The sequence below is a fragment of the Homo sapiens genome, chromosome 14, assembly GCF_000001405.40.
Source record: "Homo sapiens chromosome 14, GRCh38.p14 Primary Assembly".
NCBI classification, from domain to species: domain Eukaryota; kingdom Metazoa; phylum Chordata; class Mammalia; order Primates; family Hominidae; genus Homo; species Homo sapiens.
In genome coordinates this window covers 39325432-39344573 of record NC_000014.9, presented here as the reverse complement: position 1 = coordinate 39344573, position 19142 = coordinate 39325432, and the positions used below count along the sequence as shown (strand labels likewise).

The 19142-nt window shown below is 37.9% G+C and overlaps 1 protein-coding gene across 58 annotated transcripts in view; it reads right to left on the bottom strand.

Moving 5' to 3' along the window:
• MIA2 (MIA SH3 domain ER export factor 2) overlaps window positions 1-19142 on the bottom strand; it is a 154608-nt gene that overhangs the window by 43949 nt on the left and 91517 nt on the right. For all 58 annotated transcript variants that reach the window (NR_148721.1, NR_148722.2, NR_148723.2 and 55 more), the window contains one exon: window positions 17552-17710. Coding sequence is in view for 55 of the 58 variants with exons in the window: in XM_024449592.2 (XP_024305360.1) it covers window positions 17552-17710 (159 nt within the window). In the remaining 3 variants the exon portion in view is untranslated. The remainder of the gene's footprint in view (window positions 1-17551; window positions 17711-19142) is intronic.

The window sequence follows — 19142 nt, the reverse complement described above, 5'->3', positions numbered from 1 at the left end:
CACCTGGCATCAACGAGAGTCAATAAAGAGAATTATATTTAATGAGCTCCCAATGGTCGGGAGATGTGACTGAGGAGAGAAAGATACAAATAGTTTGAAGGCTCATTTACACTCCCTTTCAAAATCCTAGGGAGGAGCTGTTTCAAAGGGTTTGAGTTAGCCTAATGAAAGAAAAGGTCAATACCAATCACTGAGATCTAAACTCAGTTTTCCCTTTCTACTTCAAACAAAGGATTAATTAAATGGTGGAGTTGGACAAGGGGATAAAATAAGGAAACCTGAACACCAACTCTTTTTTAATCAGGTCTCCAGATACTACATCATTATTTTGCTTCTAAATTATATCCCCACACATCAACAACCTCAGAAATAAAAAAATTTTGTTATAAATTTACTACTTTATAAACTACATGGCTATGTTGCCCTCCACTGGCAAAAGCAATTCATTCCTTAAATCTTACCAAGGCCTAGTATGTGTCAGGCACAAACAATACAATGTTGGCCTTGATAAACCCCATGTCCTTACAGTCTAATTCTGATAGAAACACATAAACACCATGTGATTAATGTCTTAATAAAAGGAAATATACATAATATAAGAGGTAGACTATCTATTTCTGATTGCAGGAATCAGAAATGGAGTCAGAGGCAGTAAAGCTTGCCCTGAAAGAAAAGTAAAGATGAACAAGTAATCAAGGGTATTCTGGTCAAATGCACATATACATATACACACATACATACACACATATACACACACCCTCATATGCACATATACACATACACATATACACATAATAAGATACAGCTATGTGGAAAGCATATGACCAATTAAAGACTGAACTGAACTACAGAAAGTAAGGACATGAAAGGTCCCTTTCTTTTTTGCTTTCAAACTTTTGTTTTCTATAATAGTATTCTACGCTTATAATAGAAGACATGATTAGAAAGAAAGAATGGAAGAAAAAAAGATAAGAAAAAAATGAATAAGGAGTGGGAATAAGTGTACTGGGCATTCTAAAGCAGTTTTGCAAACTAAGAATTATACTGCAGAAATCAGCTACTCTCATATACTTCATTCACAGCTTCTGTTGAGGGCGATGGGGAGATATCTATTAAAACCAAAAACAGGCCGGGCATGGTGGCTCATGCCTGTAATCCCAGCACTTTGAGAGGCCAAGGCAGGTGGACTGCTTGAGGCCAAGAGTTCAAGATCGGCCTGGCCAACATGGTGAAATCCCATCTCTACTGAAAACACAAAAAAATTAGCCAGGTGTGGTGGCACAGGCCTGCGATCCCAGCTACTCGGGAGGCTGAGACACAAGAATCGCTTGAACCCAGGAGGCGGAGGTTGCAGTCAGCCAAGATCACGCCACTGCACCCCAGCCTGAGCGACAAAGCAAGATCCTGTCCCAAAAAAATAAAAATTGAAAATAAGATCAAAAGTGTGCATACCCTATTACCTAGGAATTCCAATTCCTGGACAATCTTGAAAGAACATATGTACAAAAAGGGTGCTAGCTGCAGCACTGTTAGTAATGGTGAGATATTGGAGACACTCTAAATGCTCACCAACAGGAAATGGTTAAACATTTTGTGGTTTCTTATACACTGAAATACCATACCACAATTAAGGTGATAAACTCTCTATATACTAACATGGAAAGAATTCAAGTAGGTAAGGCTGATAAGGAAAGCTGATAAAACAGAACTTTAATTTTTTTTAATCATTATTAGAACTGAAAGTTTACACACGCTAAACTCATGAATAGCTGCTTCTAGGAGAGGAAGGTAATATGCCCAGGAAAGGAAATGCAATAGTGTTCAATTCATGTAAATAGTGTGCTTTTTCTTTTTATGTCTTATTTACACATTTACGCACACAAACACATATATATCTGAAGCAAATATTAATATGTAAATTCTCAAGGGTGATATCCAGGATTGTGCTATAATATCTCAATTTGTTTCAACCATTGTGGAAGTCAGTGTGGCAATTCCTCAGGGATCTAGAACTAGAACTACCATTTGATCCAGCCATCCCATTACTGGGTATATACCCAAAGGATTATAAATCATGCTGCTATAAAGACACATGCACACATATGTTTATTGAGGCACTATTCACAATAGCAAAGACTTGGAACCAACCCAAATGTCCAACAACGATAGACTGGATTAAGAAAATGTGGCACATATACACCATGGAATACTATGCAGCCATAAAAAATGATGAGTTCATGTCCTTTGTAGGGACATGGATGAAGCTGGAAACCATCATTCTCAGCAAACTATCGCAAGGACAAAAAACCAAACACTGCATGTTCTCACTCATAGGTGGGAATTGAACAATGAGAACACATGGACACAGGAAGGGGAACATCACACACCGGGGACTGTTGTGGGGAGGGGGGAGGGATAGCATTAGGAGAGATACCTAATGCTAAATGACTAGTTAATGGGTGTAGCACACCAACATGGCACATGTATACATATGTAACAAACCTGCACGTTGTGCACATGAACCCTAAAACTTAGAGTATAATAAAATTTTTTTTTTAAATCTCAATTTGTGTTGTTCACCAAGTTACCCAACCTTTCTGTGGTTTTGTTTCTTCATCTGTAAAATGGGAATAACAGAATAACACTCTTAAGAGTGTTAGAATGATTAATAAAAGGCATTTAGTCTGACACAAATACATTCTATATACAGCTTTATCAATATCTGATGATAAATTAAGCTTGTTATGATTATAAACTATATTAAAAATATAGTATTGACTGCTTTTCATTCAAATTTATGACCATAAATTTCAAACTGATGCTCAACAATGCCCTATAATCATACTACACTTTACTAATGTTTGAGTTCTTCCACTCTCCTAAATAGCTACTGCATACCTTTTTTTCTCTTCAGATCTGACAGTCCTCTCCTCTACCACCTGCTTCAGCTGATGATCTTGCCACAACAAGAAAATTGAAACAACTGGACACCTCCACTTACCCTCCACCCAACAGCTACATCTGTACTCACTTGCTCTGCCTTCCTTCTTTTTAGAATGGATAAATTGACCCAGCTACCACAATTTCTGCAATTACACTCTGGATAGCATCTTTTGTGCTTAATATTCCAGGGTTTCACTTTTATAACCAGACCTTCTCCAAACATCATTAATTTCCCCTTCTAGCCTGAATTATTCCCATCAGCAAATAAATATGTTATATTATCCATCATTTATTTATTTATTTATTCATTTATTTATTTATTTATTTTTGAGAGGGAGTCTCACTCTGTTGCCCAGGCTGGAGTGCAACGGTGCGGTCTCAGCTCACTGTAAGCTCTCCCTCCCAGGGTCAAGCAATTCTCCTGCCTCAGCCTCCCGAGCAGCTGGGACTACAGGCGCGTGCCACCACACCCGGCTAATTTTTGTATTTTTAGTAGAGACGGAGTTTCACCATGTTGGCCAGGTTGGTCTTGAACTTCTGACCTCAGGTGATCTGCCCGCCTCAGCTTCCCAAAGTGCTGGAATTACAAGCGTAAGCCACCATGCCCAGCCAATATTATCCATCTTTAAAAACCAAAACACCTCTCCCTCCAGCTACCATCTCTTTTTCATTCAAAGTGAAATTTTTCAAAAAGTTGTTTACATTTGTCCCTGTATCTTAATCTCTCCACAACCTAGTCTCTTCAGGAAGACTGACAAATTAAACACAGATTTTTAAAGTTTATAAAAACACATACAGTGGCAATTTATCAACTGAATAATCATTAGAATTTATAAAGGATCATTATATAAGACATAAGTGATTAAGATATATATATTCCTAAAAAACTGGTAGCCTAAAATTTAGGAACAACTTTAAGTAAATATCATCCTCTGAGAGGATAAAAGCATATATACCACGACTTCAGAACACCTTATTAAGTTTGGGAAGACCACAAGTTTTCATCAAAGAGATCAAAATGAGCCTTAAGACAAACTATAATTCTACTAAATCAGTCTTGTCTGAAAAAACTGTTCAGAATGTAGGACAATGGTCAGCATAAATGTCTATGAATCAGAGTCAGTGAAGTAAAAATCTACGCCTATGCATTCAAAGCTATCCAAGGTATTTTGATCTGCTTAGCACACTTTTGTTTCCCAAGGAAAGAGTCAAAACTGTTCTCATCAATTTAGCTGTACACTATATGTCTCTTATTTGTTCAGCTCTTTAAGAAAAAGAGTTTTTAAACATGCCAGGCTAGCAACCACACTTAACTCATGATTACACCACCAAGGTATGGTTGCTTAGTCTCTTTGCTATGCTTACATAAAATATATTATCCAAATCAGTAAAAGATAAGCACCAACAAAAATAAGGAGAAACCACATACACACTCCTTGTTCTTTTAAACAATGAAAACTAGGAATACTAAAGCTCAAAAGGGTACGAAGGAGGGCGTGGTGGCTCACGTCTGTAATCCCAGCACTTTGGGAGGCCAAGGTGGGAGGATTGCTTGAGCCAAGGATTTCGAAACCTGCCTGGGCAACATAGTGAGGCCCCGTCTCTACAGAAAATTTAAAAATTAGGCATTAGTGGTGCATGCCTATAGTCCCAGCCACTTGGGAGGCTAAAGCAGGAGGATCACTTGGGCCCAGGAGGTCGAGGCTGTAGTAAGCTGTGTTCATGCCACTGCACTCCAGCCTGGATGACAGAGTGAGATTCTGTCTCAAAACAAAACAAAATAATAAAGAAAATTAAATAAATTTTAACTGACAAAATTCAATAAGATTAAAAATTCTGTTTCTCAAGTTGTACTAGACACATTAGGTATTTACTAGCCACATGTGCCTAGTGGCTACTGTACTGGACAGTATAGATATAAAACATTTCTATTATTACAGAAAGCTCTATTGGACAGAGCTGTTGTAGAAAAAGATCTGTTTCAGTATTACATTCATTTCATTATATTAACTCATCATTGAAATACATAACTACACCTTTTTAATAATTTATCTTTTATCCCAACATCTTGAATAAGATGTTCAGTAGAAATTCTTGTAAAAATGAAACAAACTATAGCACATAGATCCTAAAAATATATTTAGAACAAAAAATATAGAGTTAACATTTTAATTCCTTCTCCTTGTGAAAGCTACTAACCCACTGTATCTCTCTATCTAAATATATGCCAACAATTTTCAAACTATATATCCCAACCTGAGCTACAGTAGAAGTAGTTATCAATCAGCACCATAAGACAGGGAAATAAATAAATAAATGTATGTAGTCATCTACAGCAGGGGTCCCTAACCCCTGGGCTGCGGGCCAGTACCTTTCCGCGGGCTGTTAGGAACTGTTTGCACAGCAGGAGGTGAGGAGGGCAAGCGAGCATTACCACCTAAGCTCCACCTCCTGTCAGCTGAGGCATTCTATTCTCATAGAAGCGCAAACCCTACTGTGAACTGCGCATGTGAGGGATCTAGCCTGTGCATTCCTTATGAGAATCTAACTAATGCCTGATGATCTGAAGTGAACACTTTCATCCCGAAACCATCCTCCTCCCTGCAACCTCCATGGAAAAACTGGGCTCCATGAAACCAGTCCCTGATGCCAAAAAGGTTAGGGACTGCTGATCTACAGGATAGTGACATTATCTACTTAATAAATTATGATACCTCACTTTCATTTCTAAAAGTGAAGACAAAACAAGCCAACACATACAACTTGAAAGTTTTTATGAGAATCACCTTTGTTACAGTTAACCCTGGCAAAAGAATTACATGGACAATTTAAACTACTTTCTTACCAAGTCTCTTTGATCTGTAATGTTCTCATTCTAAATATGAAAACACTTTTGTGTTTTTTCTTAACAACTGAAGCGCTGAGCAAGGTAAGTCACATTGATAAATTTTTGTTGCAGGTTAGTATTTATAAAGAATTTATAATGAACTGGTTATTCCCAGGACATATTTCTGTTAAAATTTTAATTGTGATTACTATATGATATGTGAATATTATCAACTCACTTACATTATTCAAGAACATTTTTTCTGCTAAAATTATAAATAAGTTTTCTAATTAAACTTATGAAAAACCAAACTGAAAACTATCCCTTTATCTGAGTGTTAGTTATATCACTGTGCTCAAATTGTGAAAAAAAATCACATTATATGCTTAATATTTGTACTTCCCTGTATGTGTATGATATACAATAAGATTTTTACTTTTTTATTTTAAAATAGATTCACAGAAAGATGCAAAAATACTACAGAGAGATCCTGCACACCCTTTACTCAATGTTTACGTCTTTCATAACTATAGTGTATTGTAACAGCCAGAAAACTGACATTGGTACAACTCGTGTCTAGTTCTATGACATTTTACAGCATATGTAGATTTATGTAATCACTACCACTCTCAAGATACAGAATTATTGTGCCACCAAAAACACCTCCCTCGTGCCACCCCTTTACAGTCATACCCACTCCCCTCCCCACTACTGTCTCAAACTCTTGAATCCACCAATCTGTTTTCTGTTTCTATACCGTCATTTCAAGAATGTTATATATGGCCGGGCACAGTGGCTCACGCCTGTAATCCCAGCACTTTGGGAGGCCGAGGTGGGTGGATCACTTGAGGTCAGAAGTTCGAGACCAGCCTGGCTAAAATGGCAAAACCCTGTCTCTACTAAAAATTTTAAAATTAGCCTGGCCGGGCATGGTGGTGTGTGCCTGAAGTCCCAGCTACTCAGGAGGCTGAGGCTGAAGGACAGTTTGAACCCAGGAGGCAGAGGTTGCAGTGAGCCGAGATTACACCACAGCACTCCAGCCTGGGTGACAGAGTGAGACTCCATCTCGAAAAAAAAAAGAATGTTATATACATGGAATAACACAGTATGTAAACTTTTGAGACTGGTTTTCTTCACTCAACCATTGAGATACATCCAAATTGTTGCATGTATCAATAGTTTATTATTTATAGTTTGATTCCATTGTGATCAAAGAACATACTGTATATTATTTCACTTCTTTTAAATGTGTTGAGGTTTGTTTTATGGCCCAGGATACAATCTGTCTTGTAAAATGTTCCACTGCTACTTTAAAAACACGTGTATTCTGCTGCTGTTGGGTAACTTGTTCTATAAATGTCAGTTAGGTCTTGTTGGTTGAGGGCACTGTTCAGTTCTTCTATATACTTGCTGAATTTTCTCTTCAGTTGTTCCATCAATTGCCGAGAGAGGGGTGTTGAAGTCTCCAATTATAACTGGATTTGTCTTTGTTCCTCTCAGTGCTATCAGTTTTTGTTTCCCATACTTTGTAGCTGCTGTTGGCATACACACATTTAACATTTGCTATATCTTCTTGACCTCATTTTCTTTCGATTAATGTTTGCATGGTGTATCTTTTCTATCCTTTTACTTTCCACCTACTTATACTATTATATTCGAATGAGTTTCTTATGGAGTTATATGGTTATGTCACTATATAATATATAAGGTCCAAAGAAATGAAACAAGTTTTAAAAATCACACTAAAAGCCAGGCACGATGGCTCGTGCCTGTAATCCCCCACTATTCAGGAGGCTGAGGAGGGAGGACCACCTGAGGCCAAGAGTTTGACACCAGACTGGGTAACACAGCAAAAACCTGTCTCCAAAAACAATTTAAAATAAAATAAAAATTACCCAGGCATTGTGGCATGTGCTTACAGTCCCAGTTACTTGGGAGGCTGAGAGGGGAGGATTGCTTGAGATCAGGAGTTCAAGGCTACAGTGAGCTATAATCACACCACAGCACTCTAGCTGGGTGACAAAGTGAGAACCTGTCTCTAAAAAAATTTTTTAATAAATTTTTAAAATCACACTAAAAGATAAAGGAGTGAAAACCAGAAAGCAAATTTCTTGATTTCCAGTCCAAATGCTTTTTCACCTAAGCCAGTCTTGTTCTAAACATGCAAACTAATTAAAAGCACATATAAGAATGTTAGATGAACAGATACATTGTAGACTGTTCAACACTGTACAAAACTTTGTACACATACTATGCTTCAGCAGAATTAGCTCTTTCCTAATAAGGTAGCCAAATTTGTGTACTAACCTTTAATAACCACAGAGTTTTAAAAGAAAACTTAAAAGTTTTAAAATCCTTATTAGTTTATAAGATTGAGTCTGCTACTGAAAATAATGAGAATAAAGTGTTGATTACTTGAAGAAACTAGGTGTATACTTGCTAATAAAACCTTTAAGTAATAAGAATGTTTGGATCAAAACCACAATGAGATTCCACCTCACACTAGTCAGAATGGCTACTATTAAAAAGTCAAAATAACAGATGTTGCCAAGGTTGTAGAGAAAAGGGAATGCTTATACACTGTTGGAGGGAATGTAAATTATTAGGCCACTGTGGAAATCAGTTTGAAGATTTCTCAAAGAACTTAAAACAGAACTACCATTTGACCCAGCAATCCCATTACTGGGTATATATCCAAAAGAAACTAAGTCGTTCTACAAAAAAGGCACAAGCACTCATGTTTATCGTAACACTATTCACAACAGCAAAGACATGAAATCAACCCAGATACCCACCAACGGTGGACTGGATAAAGAAAATGCAGTACATATACACCATAGAATACTACACAGCCATAAGAAAGAATAAAATTATGTCCTTTGCAACAACATGGATGCAGCTGGAAGCCATTATCCTAAGTGAATTAATGCAGAAATATAAAACTAACACATTCTTACTTGTAAGTGGTAGCTAAACACTGGGTACACATGGATATAAAGATGATAACAAGAGACACTGGGGACTACCAGAGTAGAGCGAGGAGAGACAAAGGGAGGCAAGGGCTGAAAAACTGTGGGTACTATGCTCACTTTCTGGGTGATGAATTCAGTCACGCCCCAAACTTCAGTATCATGCAATATACCCATGTAACAAACCTGCACATGTACCCTGTGAATCTCAAATAAAAGATAACATTATTAAAATATTTTTTAAAAGAATGTCTGGAATAGGGCATATGAGAAAAGAGATAAGTTAGAGCAGTTTTTTCTGACTATATAAGCTAAGTAAAGTTTTCTCCTTTTTCAAAGTATTTAACGGTGCAAAAATAAATGATTCCTTGTAAATATGGAACTATTTAAAATCATTTCTGCTAACTCATCTTAAGTCAATGGAAATCTAAAACACTTCTTCCAAGTAGAAACATGTTAAGAAAATATATACATTTTATAAATTATGCCTAACAGACTAAATGACAGATAATCTCAAATGCAGAATCCATATTCTTCAGAAACTTAGTTATTTTAGTTGTCATATTTTTTTAACATAAGTATTTTAAACTAAAATATTTTAAAATTTAAGAAAAATCTTAAAGACAATTATTAGTGAGAAGGACTCTTCATGAGTCCCAATAAGTCAACCTTACATAAAAGAGAGGCAGATTACTTTAGAATATCACCATCTCTGTTTTACAGAAGTCACTATTTTGTTTGTTTTTTTGTGGAGACAGAATCTCACTATTTTGGCCAGCTTGCTCCAGAACTCCTGGCCTCAAGCAATCCTCCTACCTCATCCTCCCAAAGTGCTAGGATTACAGGCATGAGCCACTGCACCCAGCCAGAAGACCATATTTTGAAAGAGAGAAAACCATGACAGGTAAAATTTATTGCTCAAGGTTACACAAAAAAGTAATAGCAATGATAAGGTTTAAAAAGCCTAGGCCAGGTGTGGTGGCTCACACCTGTAATCACAGCACTTTGGGAGGCCAAGGCAGGTGGATCACCTGAGGTCAGGAGTTCGAGACAAGCCTGGCCAACATGGTGAAACCCCGTCTCTACTAAAAATACAAATATTAGCTGGGCATGGTGGCACATGCCCTGTAATCCCGGGTACTCGGGAGGATGAGGCAGGAGAATCGCTTGAACCCGGGAGGCAGAGGTTGCAGTGAGCTGAGATGGCACCATTGCACCCCAGCCTGGATGACAAAGGTGAAACTCCACTTCAAAAAAAAAAAGCCTAAGTCCCCTCATTCATTATCATTTCGTTAACTGAAACACAACATAAAAGAAAAGAACCCTGAAATCTGTTCAGTGACCATTTTTTTATTTTTTTTTTGAGAGAGTCTCTCTCTGTTGCCAGACTAGAGTGCAGTGGCGCAATCTCGGCTCACTGCAACCTCTGTCTCCCAGGTTCAAGCAATTCTCCTGCCTCAGCCTCCCGAGTAGCTGAGATTACAGGCGCCTGCCACCACACCCAGCTAATTTTTGTATTTTTTGTAGGAACAGGGTTTTGCCATGTTAGCCAGGCTGGTCTTGAACTCCTGGCCTCAGGTGATCCACCTGCCTTGGCCTCCCAAAGTGCTGGGATCACAGGCATGAGCCACCACACCCGGCCTGTTCAGTGACTATTTAAATGGCATGTACCAATATACCAAGAGCAAACATAGAATATTTTTTAACTTTAGGTAGGAATGAAGCTAACTGAGAAATACATTTATCAGCATTACTCTAATTCATGCTAGAGCCTCAGGAGTCATTTAGCCCTTCTCACTCATCATAAATTTTGGAACAATACTGAAAATTCCTTTACTGTGTCTGTAGAATTACCCTTGTCTATGACATTGAGATTATAGTTGACACAGGTTGGCCCTCTGTCAAACCACAGGGATCAGGTTCATTATTTGGAGATACTCTGTAGAATGGACCATATCTCTTCTATGAAGGTATCAATTTAGAAGCTCACAAATGATTGAAAAGTACGGAGACCAGGTTCCATTTCTAGTATGGTAGAGTAAATTCAGACTGACTCTCCTACACATAAGTATAAACTCCAGACAATATGCAAAAAAATAACTGCCTGAAGCGCTTAAGCATCAACAAAAGCAGGAGGACTTAGAAAAGAAGAGAGAGCTTGGAAGAAGAAAGGAGTAACAACCGGGTATGGGGTGAGTTTTCCATTTTTATGTTTTAGCCTGATAGAAGACCACAGTGAGTTGCAGCACACAGCAGTCAAAACTCGATAAAACTTTCTTGCCTGAAGAACAAGTACACAGAGCCCAAGCCTGAGGCAATGGGATTGGGATATCCTAGAAAGGAGAAAGCCGCAAAGGTAGAGCCCAATATTCTGGGTACAATCTCTGCCCAAGTCTATGGCTGACTCCAGAGCAACACATGTGTATGGCAAATTTAAGCAGTTTTCAGCTAAGGCAAAAATAACTGAACTAATATTTGAGCTGTTCCCCACCACAGAAGGGAAAAGGCTGCAGTCTGAGCCCATCCAAGTTAATGGTCTTCTACAGCAAGACCAGTAACACTCTTAGAGGAATAGAATAGAATCCAGAATTGCCACAATGTCTAGTATCCAATACAAACTCATCAAGAAAGAGAATGTGACCCATCCTTAAGGGAAAATATCATCACTAGAGGCCAACCTCAAGATGACCCTGATGTTAGAATTACCATACAATGACTTTAAAGCAGTTATTATAAAACTAATATACTCAATGGTTTAAAAAAAATGCTTATAATGAATAAAAAGATAAAAAACTCAGCAGATAAATCAAATTATAAAAAGGAACCAAATGGTAATTTTAGACCTGAAAAATATATCTAAAATAAAACTTTTACTAGATAAGCTTAATAACAGAATGGAGATGACAAGGAAAGAGTCAGTAAACCTGAAGATAGATCACAAGAAATTGTTGATTCCCAGGCAAGACGTCGAAATAGGAACAGCTCCGGTCTTCAGCTCCCAGTGAGGCCAAAGCAGAAGGCGGGTGATGTCTTCATTTCCAACTGAGGTACCTGGTTCATCTCACTGGGACTGGTTAGAGAGCGGGTGCAGTCCACGGACTGCAAGCAGAAGCAGGGTGGGCGTCACCTCACCTGGGAAGCACAAGCGTTCAGGAAATTTCCTCCCCTAGCCAAGAGAAGCCATGAGGGACTGTGCCGTGAAGGACCAAGCAAAAACTCCATCCGAAGGTCATCAACAGCAAAGACCAATGGTAAATAAATCCAGGAAGATGAGGAAAAACCAGGCAAAAAGGCTAAAAATTCCAAAAACCAGGATGCCTCGTCTTTCAAAGGATCACAACTCCTTGGCAGCAAGGGAACAAAACTGGACAGACAATGAGTTCGACAAATGGACAGAAGTAGGCTTCAGAAGGTGAGTAATAAACTCCGCCAAGCTAAAGGAGCATATTCTAACCTAATGCAAGGAAGCTAAGAACATTGATAAAAGGTTAGAGGAATTGCAAACTGGAAAAACCAATTTCGAGAAGAACATAAATGACCTGATGCAGCCAAAAAACACAACACGAGAACTTCATGAAGCATACACAAGTATCAATATAGCCAAATTGATCAGTCGGAAGAAAGGATATCAGAGATTGAACACTAACTTACTAAAATAAAGCGTGAAGACAAGATTAGAGAAACAAGAATAAAATGGAATGAACAAAGCCTCCAAGAAATATGGGACTATGTGAAAAGACCAAACCTATATTTGATTGGTGTACCTGAAAGTGATCGGGAGAATGGAATCAAGTTGGAAAACTCTCTTCAGGATATTAGCCAGGAGAACTTCCCCAACCTAGCAAGATAGGCCAACATTCAAATTCACGAAATACAAAGACACTCTTCTAGAAGAACAACCCCAAGATACATAATCGTCAGATTCAGCAACATTGAAATGAAGGAAAAAACGTTAAGGGCAGCCAGAGAGAAAGGTCAGGTTAACCACAAAGGGAAGCCCATCAGACTAACAGCGGATCTCTCTGCAGAAACCCTACAAGCCAGAAGAGAATGGGGGCCAATATGCAATATTCTTAAAGAATTTTCAACCCAGAATTTCATATCCAGCCAAACTAAGCTTTATAAGTAAAGGAAAAATAAAATCCTTTACAGAAAAGCAAATGCTTAGGGATTTTGGCTCCACCAGGCCTGCCTTACAAGGGCTCCTGAAGGAAGCACTAAATATGGAAGGGAAAAACCGCTACCAGCCACTGCAAAAACACAACAAAACGTAAAAGACCATCAACGTGATGAAGAAACTGCATCAACTAATGGGCAAAATAACCAGCTAGCATCATAATAACAGGATCAAATTCACACATAACAATATTAACCTTAAATGTAAATGGGCTAAATGCCCCAATTAAAAGACAGAGAATGGCAAATTGGATAAAGAGTCAAGACCCATCGGTGTACTGTATTCAGGAGACCCATCTCATGTGCATAGACACACATAGGCTCAAAATAAAGGGATGGAGGAAGATTTACCAAGCAAATGGAAAGCAAAAAAAAGCAGGGTTGTAATCCTAGTCTCTGATAAAAAAGACTTGAAACCAACAAAGATCAAAAAGTCAAAGAAGGGCATTACATAATGGTAAAGGGATCAATGCAACACCAAGAGCTAACTACCCTAATTATATATGCACCCAATACATGAGCATGCAGATTCATAAAGCAAGTTCTTAGAGACCTACAAAGAGACTTAGACTCCCACACAATAATAGTGGGAGACTTTGACACCCCACTGTCAATATTAGACAGATCAACGAGACAGAAAATTAACAATATTCAGGACTTGAATTCAGCTCTGGACCAAGCGGACCTAACAGACAACTACAGAACTCTCCACCCCAAATCAACAAAATATACATTTTTCTCAGTGCCACATAGCACTTATTCTAAAATCAACCACATAATTGGAAGTAAATCACTCCTCAGCAAATGCAAAAGGATGGAAATCATAACAGTCCCTCACACCACAGTGCAATCAAATTAGAACTCAGGATTAAGAAATTCACTCAAAACCGCACAGCTACATGGAAACTGAACAACCTGCTCCTGAATGACTACTAGGTAAATAACAAAATTAAGGCAGAAATAAATAAGTTATTTGAAACCAATGAGAACAAAGACACAACATACCAGAATCTCTGGGACACAGCTAAAGCAGTGTTTAGAGGGAAATTTACAGCACTAAAATACCCACAGGAGATCAAGCGGGAAAAATCTAAAATCAACACCCAAACATCACAATTAAAAGAACTACAGAAGTAAGAGCAAACAAAGTAAAAATCTAGCAGAAGACAAGAAATAACTAAGATGAGGGCAGAACTGAAGGAGATAAAGACACAAAAAACCCTTCAAAAAATCCATGAGCTGGTGTTCTGAAAAGATTAACAAAATAAATAGACCACTAGCCAGACTAATAAGGAAGAAAAGAGAGAAGAATCAAATAGATGCAAGGAAAAATGATAAAGGGGATATCACCACTGATCCCACAGAAATACAAACTACCATCAGAGAATACTATAAAGAACTCCATGTGAACAAACTAGAAAATCTAGAAGAAATGGATAAATTCCTGGACACACACACCCTCACAAGACTAAACCAGGAAGAAGTCAAATTCCTGAATAGATCAGTAACAAGTTCTGAAATTGACGTAGTAATTAATAGCCTACCAACCAAAAAAGTCCAGGACCAGATGGATTCACAGCCAAATTCTACCAGAGGTACAAGGAGGAGCTGGTACCATTCCTTCTGAAACTATTCCAATCAACAGAAAAAGAGGGAATCCTCCCTAGCTCATTTTATGAGGTCAGCATCATCCTGATACCAAAACCTGGCAGAGACACAACAAAAAAAGAAAATTTCAGGCCAATATCTCTGATGAACATTGATGCAAAAATCCTCAATAAAATACTGGCAAACCAAATCAAGCAGCACATTAAAAAGCTTACCCACCACGATCAAGTTGGCTTCATCCCTGGGATGCAAGGCTGGTTCAACATATGCAAATTAGTAAACGTAATTCATCACATAAACAGAACCAATGACAAAAACCACATGATTATCTCAATAGATGCAGAAAAGGCCTTTGATAAAATCCAACACCCCTTCATGCTAAAAAAAAAAAAAAAAACTCAATAAACTAGGTAGTGATGGAACATATCTCAAAATAATAAGAGCTATTTATGACAAACTCACAGGCAATATCATACTGAATGGGCAAAAGCTGGAAGAATTCCCTTTGAAAACCAGCACAAGACAAGGATGCCCTCTCTCACCACCCCTATTCAACATAGTATTGGAAGTTCTGGCCAGGGCAATCAGGCAAGAGAAATAAATAAAGGGTATTCATATAGGAAGAGAGGAAGTCAAGTTGTCTCTGTTTGCAGATGACATGATTGTATATTTAGAAAACCCCATCATCTCAGCCCAAACACTCCTTAAGCTAATAAGCAACTTCAGCAAAGTCTCAGGATACAAAATCAATGTGCAAAAATCACAAGCATTCCTATATACCAATAACAGAGAGCCAAATCATGACCAAACTCCCATTCGCAATTACTACAAAGAGAATAAAATATCTAGGAATACAACTTACAAGGGATGTGAAGGACCTCTTCAAGGAGAACTACAAACCACTGCTCAAGGAAATAAGAGAGGACACAAACAAAAGAAGAAACATTCCATGCTCATGGATATGAAGAATCAATATCGTGAAAATGGCCATACTACCCAAAGTAATTTATAGATTCAATGCTATTCCCATCAAGCTACCACTGACTTTCTTCAAAGAATTAGAAAAAACTACTTTAAATTTCATATAGAAGCAAAAAAAAGCCCATATATCCAAGACAATCCTAAGCAAAAAATACAAAGCTGGAGACATCACACCACCTGACTTCAAGCTATACTACAAGGCTACAGTAGCCAAAACAGCATGGTACTGGTACAAAAACAGACATATAGAACAATGGAACAAAACAGAGGCCTCAGAAATAACACAACACATCTACAACCAACTGATCTTTGACAAACCTGACAAAAACAACCAATGGGGAAAGGATTCCCTATTTAATAAATTGCGTTCGGAAAAATGGCTAGCCTTATGCAGAGAACTGAAACTGGACCCCTTCCCTGCACCTTATACAAAAATCAACTCAAGATGGATTAAGGATTTAAATATAAGAACTAAAACCATAAAAACCCTACAAGAAAACCTAGGCAATACCATTCAGGACACAGGCATAGGCAAAGACTTCATGACTAAAACAACAAAAGCAATGGCAACAAAAGCCAAAATTGACACATGAGATATAATTAAACTGAAGAGCTTCTGCACAGCAAAAGAAACTACCATCAGAGTGAACAGGCAACCTACAGAATGGGAGAAAATTTTTGCAATCTATCCATCTGACAAAGGGCTAATATCCACAATCTACAAGCAACTTAAATTTACAAGAAAAAAGCAAACAACCCCAACAAAAAGTGGGCGAAGGATATGAACAGACACTTCTCAAAAGAAGACATTTATGCAGCCAACAAACATATGAAAAAAAGCTCACCATCACTGGTCATTAGAGAAATGCAAATCAAAACCACAATGAGATACCATCTCACGCCAGTCAGAATGGTGATCATTAAAAAGTCAGGAAACTACAGATGCTGCAGAGGATGTGAAGAAATAGGAACGCTTTACACTGTTAGTGGGAGTGTAAGTTAGTTCAACCATTGTGGAAGACAGTGTGGCGATTCCTCAAGCATCTAGAACTAGAAATACCATTTGACCCAGCCATCCCATTACTGGGTATATACCCAAAGGATTATAAATCATTCTACTATAAAGACACATGCACATGTATATTTATTGCGGCACTGTTCATGATAGTAAAGACTTGGAACCAACCCAAATGCCCATCAATGTCAGACTGCATAAAGAAAATGTGGCACATACACACCATGGAATACTAGGCAGCCATAAAAAAGAATGAGTTCATGTCCTTTGCAAGGTACATGGATGAAGCTGGAAACCATCATTCTCAGCAAACTAACACAGGAACAGAAAACCAAACACCGCATGTTCTCACTCATAAGTGGGAGTTGAATAATGAGAACATATGGGCACAGGGAGGGGAACATCACACACCGGGGCCTCTCTGGGGGTGGGGGGCCAGGGGAGGATAGCATTAGGAGAAACACCTAATGTAGATGATGCAGCTGTTGAATGGCAGTTATTATCTTATTTCAAGATATTCTGCTGTGACTCTTCTGGTAAATATATTTATTTTGGTGAGATAAAATGGTCAGTGAAAAAAGACAATTACAAAAGAGGATGAATGGTACAACTGCACAGAGTGATTAAAAGAATTTGAACAGCTATGTGTATAAATGTATACCCAAAAAAATCTCTAAAAGATATATACCTACAACTAAATTCTGGGAAGGACACGCTAAGATGACAAAAGGGATTTTTCACTTCTTTACACATTTCTGTGTTGTTTGGATTTTCTAAAGTAAACATGCATTATTACCTCTACAAGCAACAAAAACAATAAAAACATTCCATTTAGGGAGAAAACAGCTTTCTATAATATGAACAATTATCTCAAATCATTCTGTTTAGATTATTTATCATTGTTGTTTTCAAAAATGTACGATGATTTTTCTTAAGAGAGAACAAACATATACTCCTCCCTTCTTCCATTCCTGTGTATTCCACATCCCAGCTGCCTTTCAAAGAGAAATAATAACTATTGTCTTTACATACCTGGCGGAGGAAACATCATCCTACGGTCCTGGTCCCATGGAGGTGACAGAGACCCAGTGTCAGAGGGAGCCCTATGAGGATCGGTTAACCTATCACAGCTTGATTCTCCTCTTTCATTGGTAATCTGATGGTCCAGAGGATTCCCTGGGCCTCGTGAGCCTAATTAAAGAAAAAAAAACATACAAATCTGTTTCATCTTAAAAAGTCTTATATACTTGTTTTACACATAAAATCAGTGGTTAAATCATAAATTATAAATACAAAGTCTGAAAAATAACAGTGTAGAAAGTAAATTGCTATGATTCCTATGCCTGATGTAACAGGATAATTATAAAGTAATTATAAGAACTGATTAAATAAAAAATATAATATAAAATAAATATAAAATATTTAAAATAAATATAAAATATAATAAATGATTAAATAAAAAGCATAAATGATTTTGTTGCTTAAACTAATATATCAATAGTCCAAATGAGCATGATTCCTTTAAAACAGTCATCTTAGCAGTTCTATATCTATTCTACTAATTTTGCTACTAAAGTATTTTTCAGAAAAACTCTTTTGGAAATGTACTCAGTTTAACTTAAGAGCCATGTAAAAAACTGCATCTCAAAGTTAAAACATGACTCTCTACTTCTGCCCAAATTCACTGAATAGTGTTACGAGTCAATGAGAAGATAAAAAAGATAAATACTTCTGCCCCAAAATGATTTTAAATAGCCTGATTTAAAACATTATGTACAACAGATAAACTGGCACTAGATGGCTTTTAGTGATTTCTAAATATCAAATTCACATTCAAAAGAAGAATTCATAAGTTCTGAAGACAAGTCTAAAACGATAGTTTCAAAAACAACAGCACTGTTGAAATAATCACTTTAAATGAGCTAACATTCTTTTGGATAAGAAAATCTAGTATATTTACATTTACAAACAGGAGTAATTTTAAAGTTCCCTTCTTACGACCACAGAAAAGATAGTACCTTAATTAAAAACCCATATACAGGGCTGGACGCAGTGGCCCATGCCTGTAATCCCAGCACTTTGGGAGGTCGAGGAGGGTGGACCACCTGAGATCAGGAATTTGAGACAAGCCTGGCCAACATGGTGAAACCCTGTCTCTACTAAAAGTACAAAAGTTAGCCAGGCATGGTGGCAGGTGCCTGTAATCCCAGCTACTAGGGAGGCTGAGGCAGAAGAATGGCTTGAACTCAGGAGGTGGAGGTTGCAGTGAGCCAAGATCGTGCCACTGCACTCCAGCCTGGGTGACAGAGTGAGACTCCATCTCAAAAAAAAACAAAAAACAAAACCCATATTCAACTAAAATGGAAAAGACAAATATAAAAAAATTTTGGCCAGGCGCGGTGGCTCACACCTGTAATCCCAGCACTTTGGGAGGTCAAGGCGGGCGGGTCACAAGGTCAGGAGATCGAGACCATCCTGGCTAACAAGGTGAAACCCCATCTCTACTAAAAATACAAAAAATTAGCCGGGCATGGTGGCAGGCGCCTGTAGTCCCAGCTACTCAGGAGGCTGAGGCAGAAGAATGGCTTGAACTCAGGAGGAGGAGGTTGCAGTGAGCCAAGAT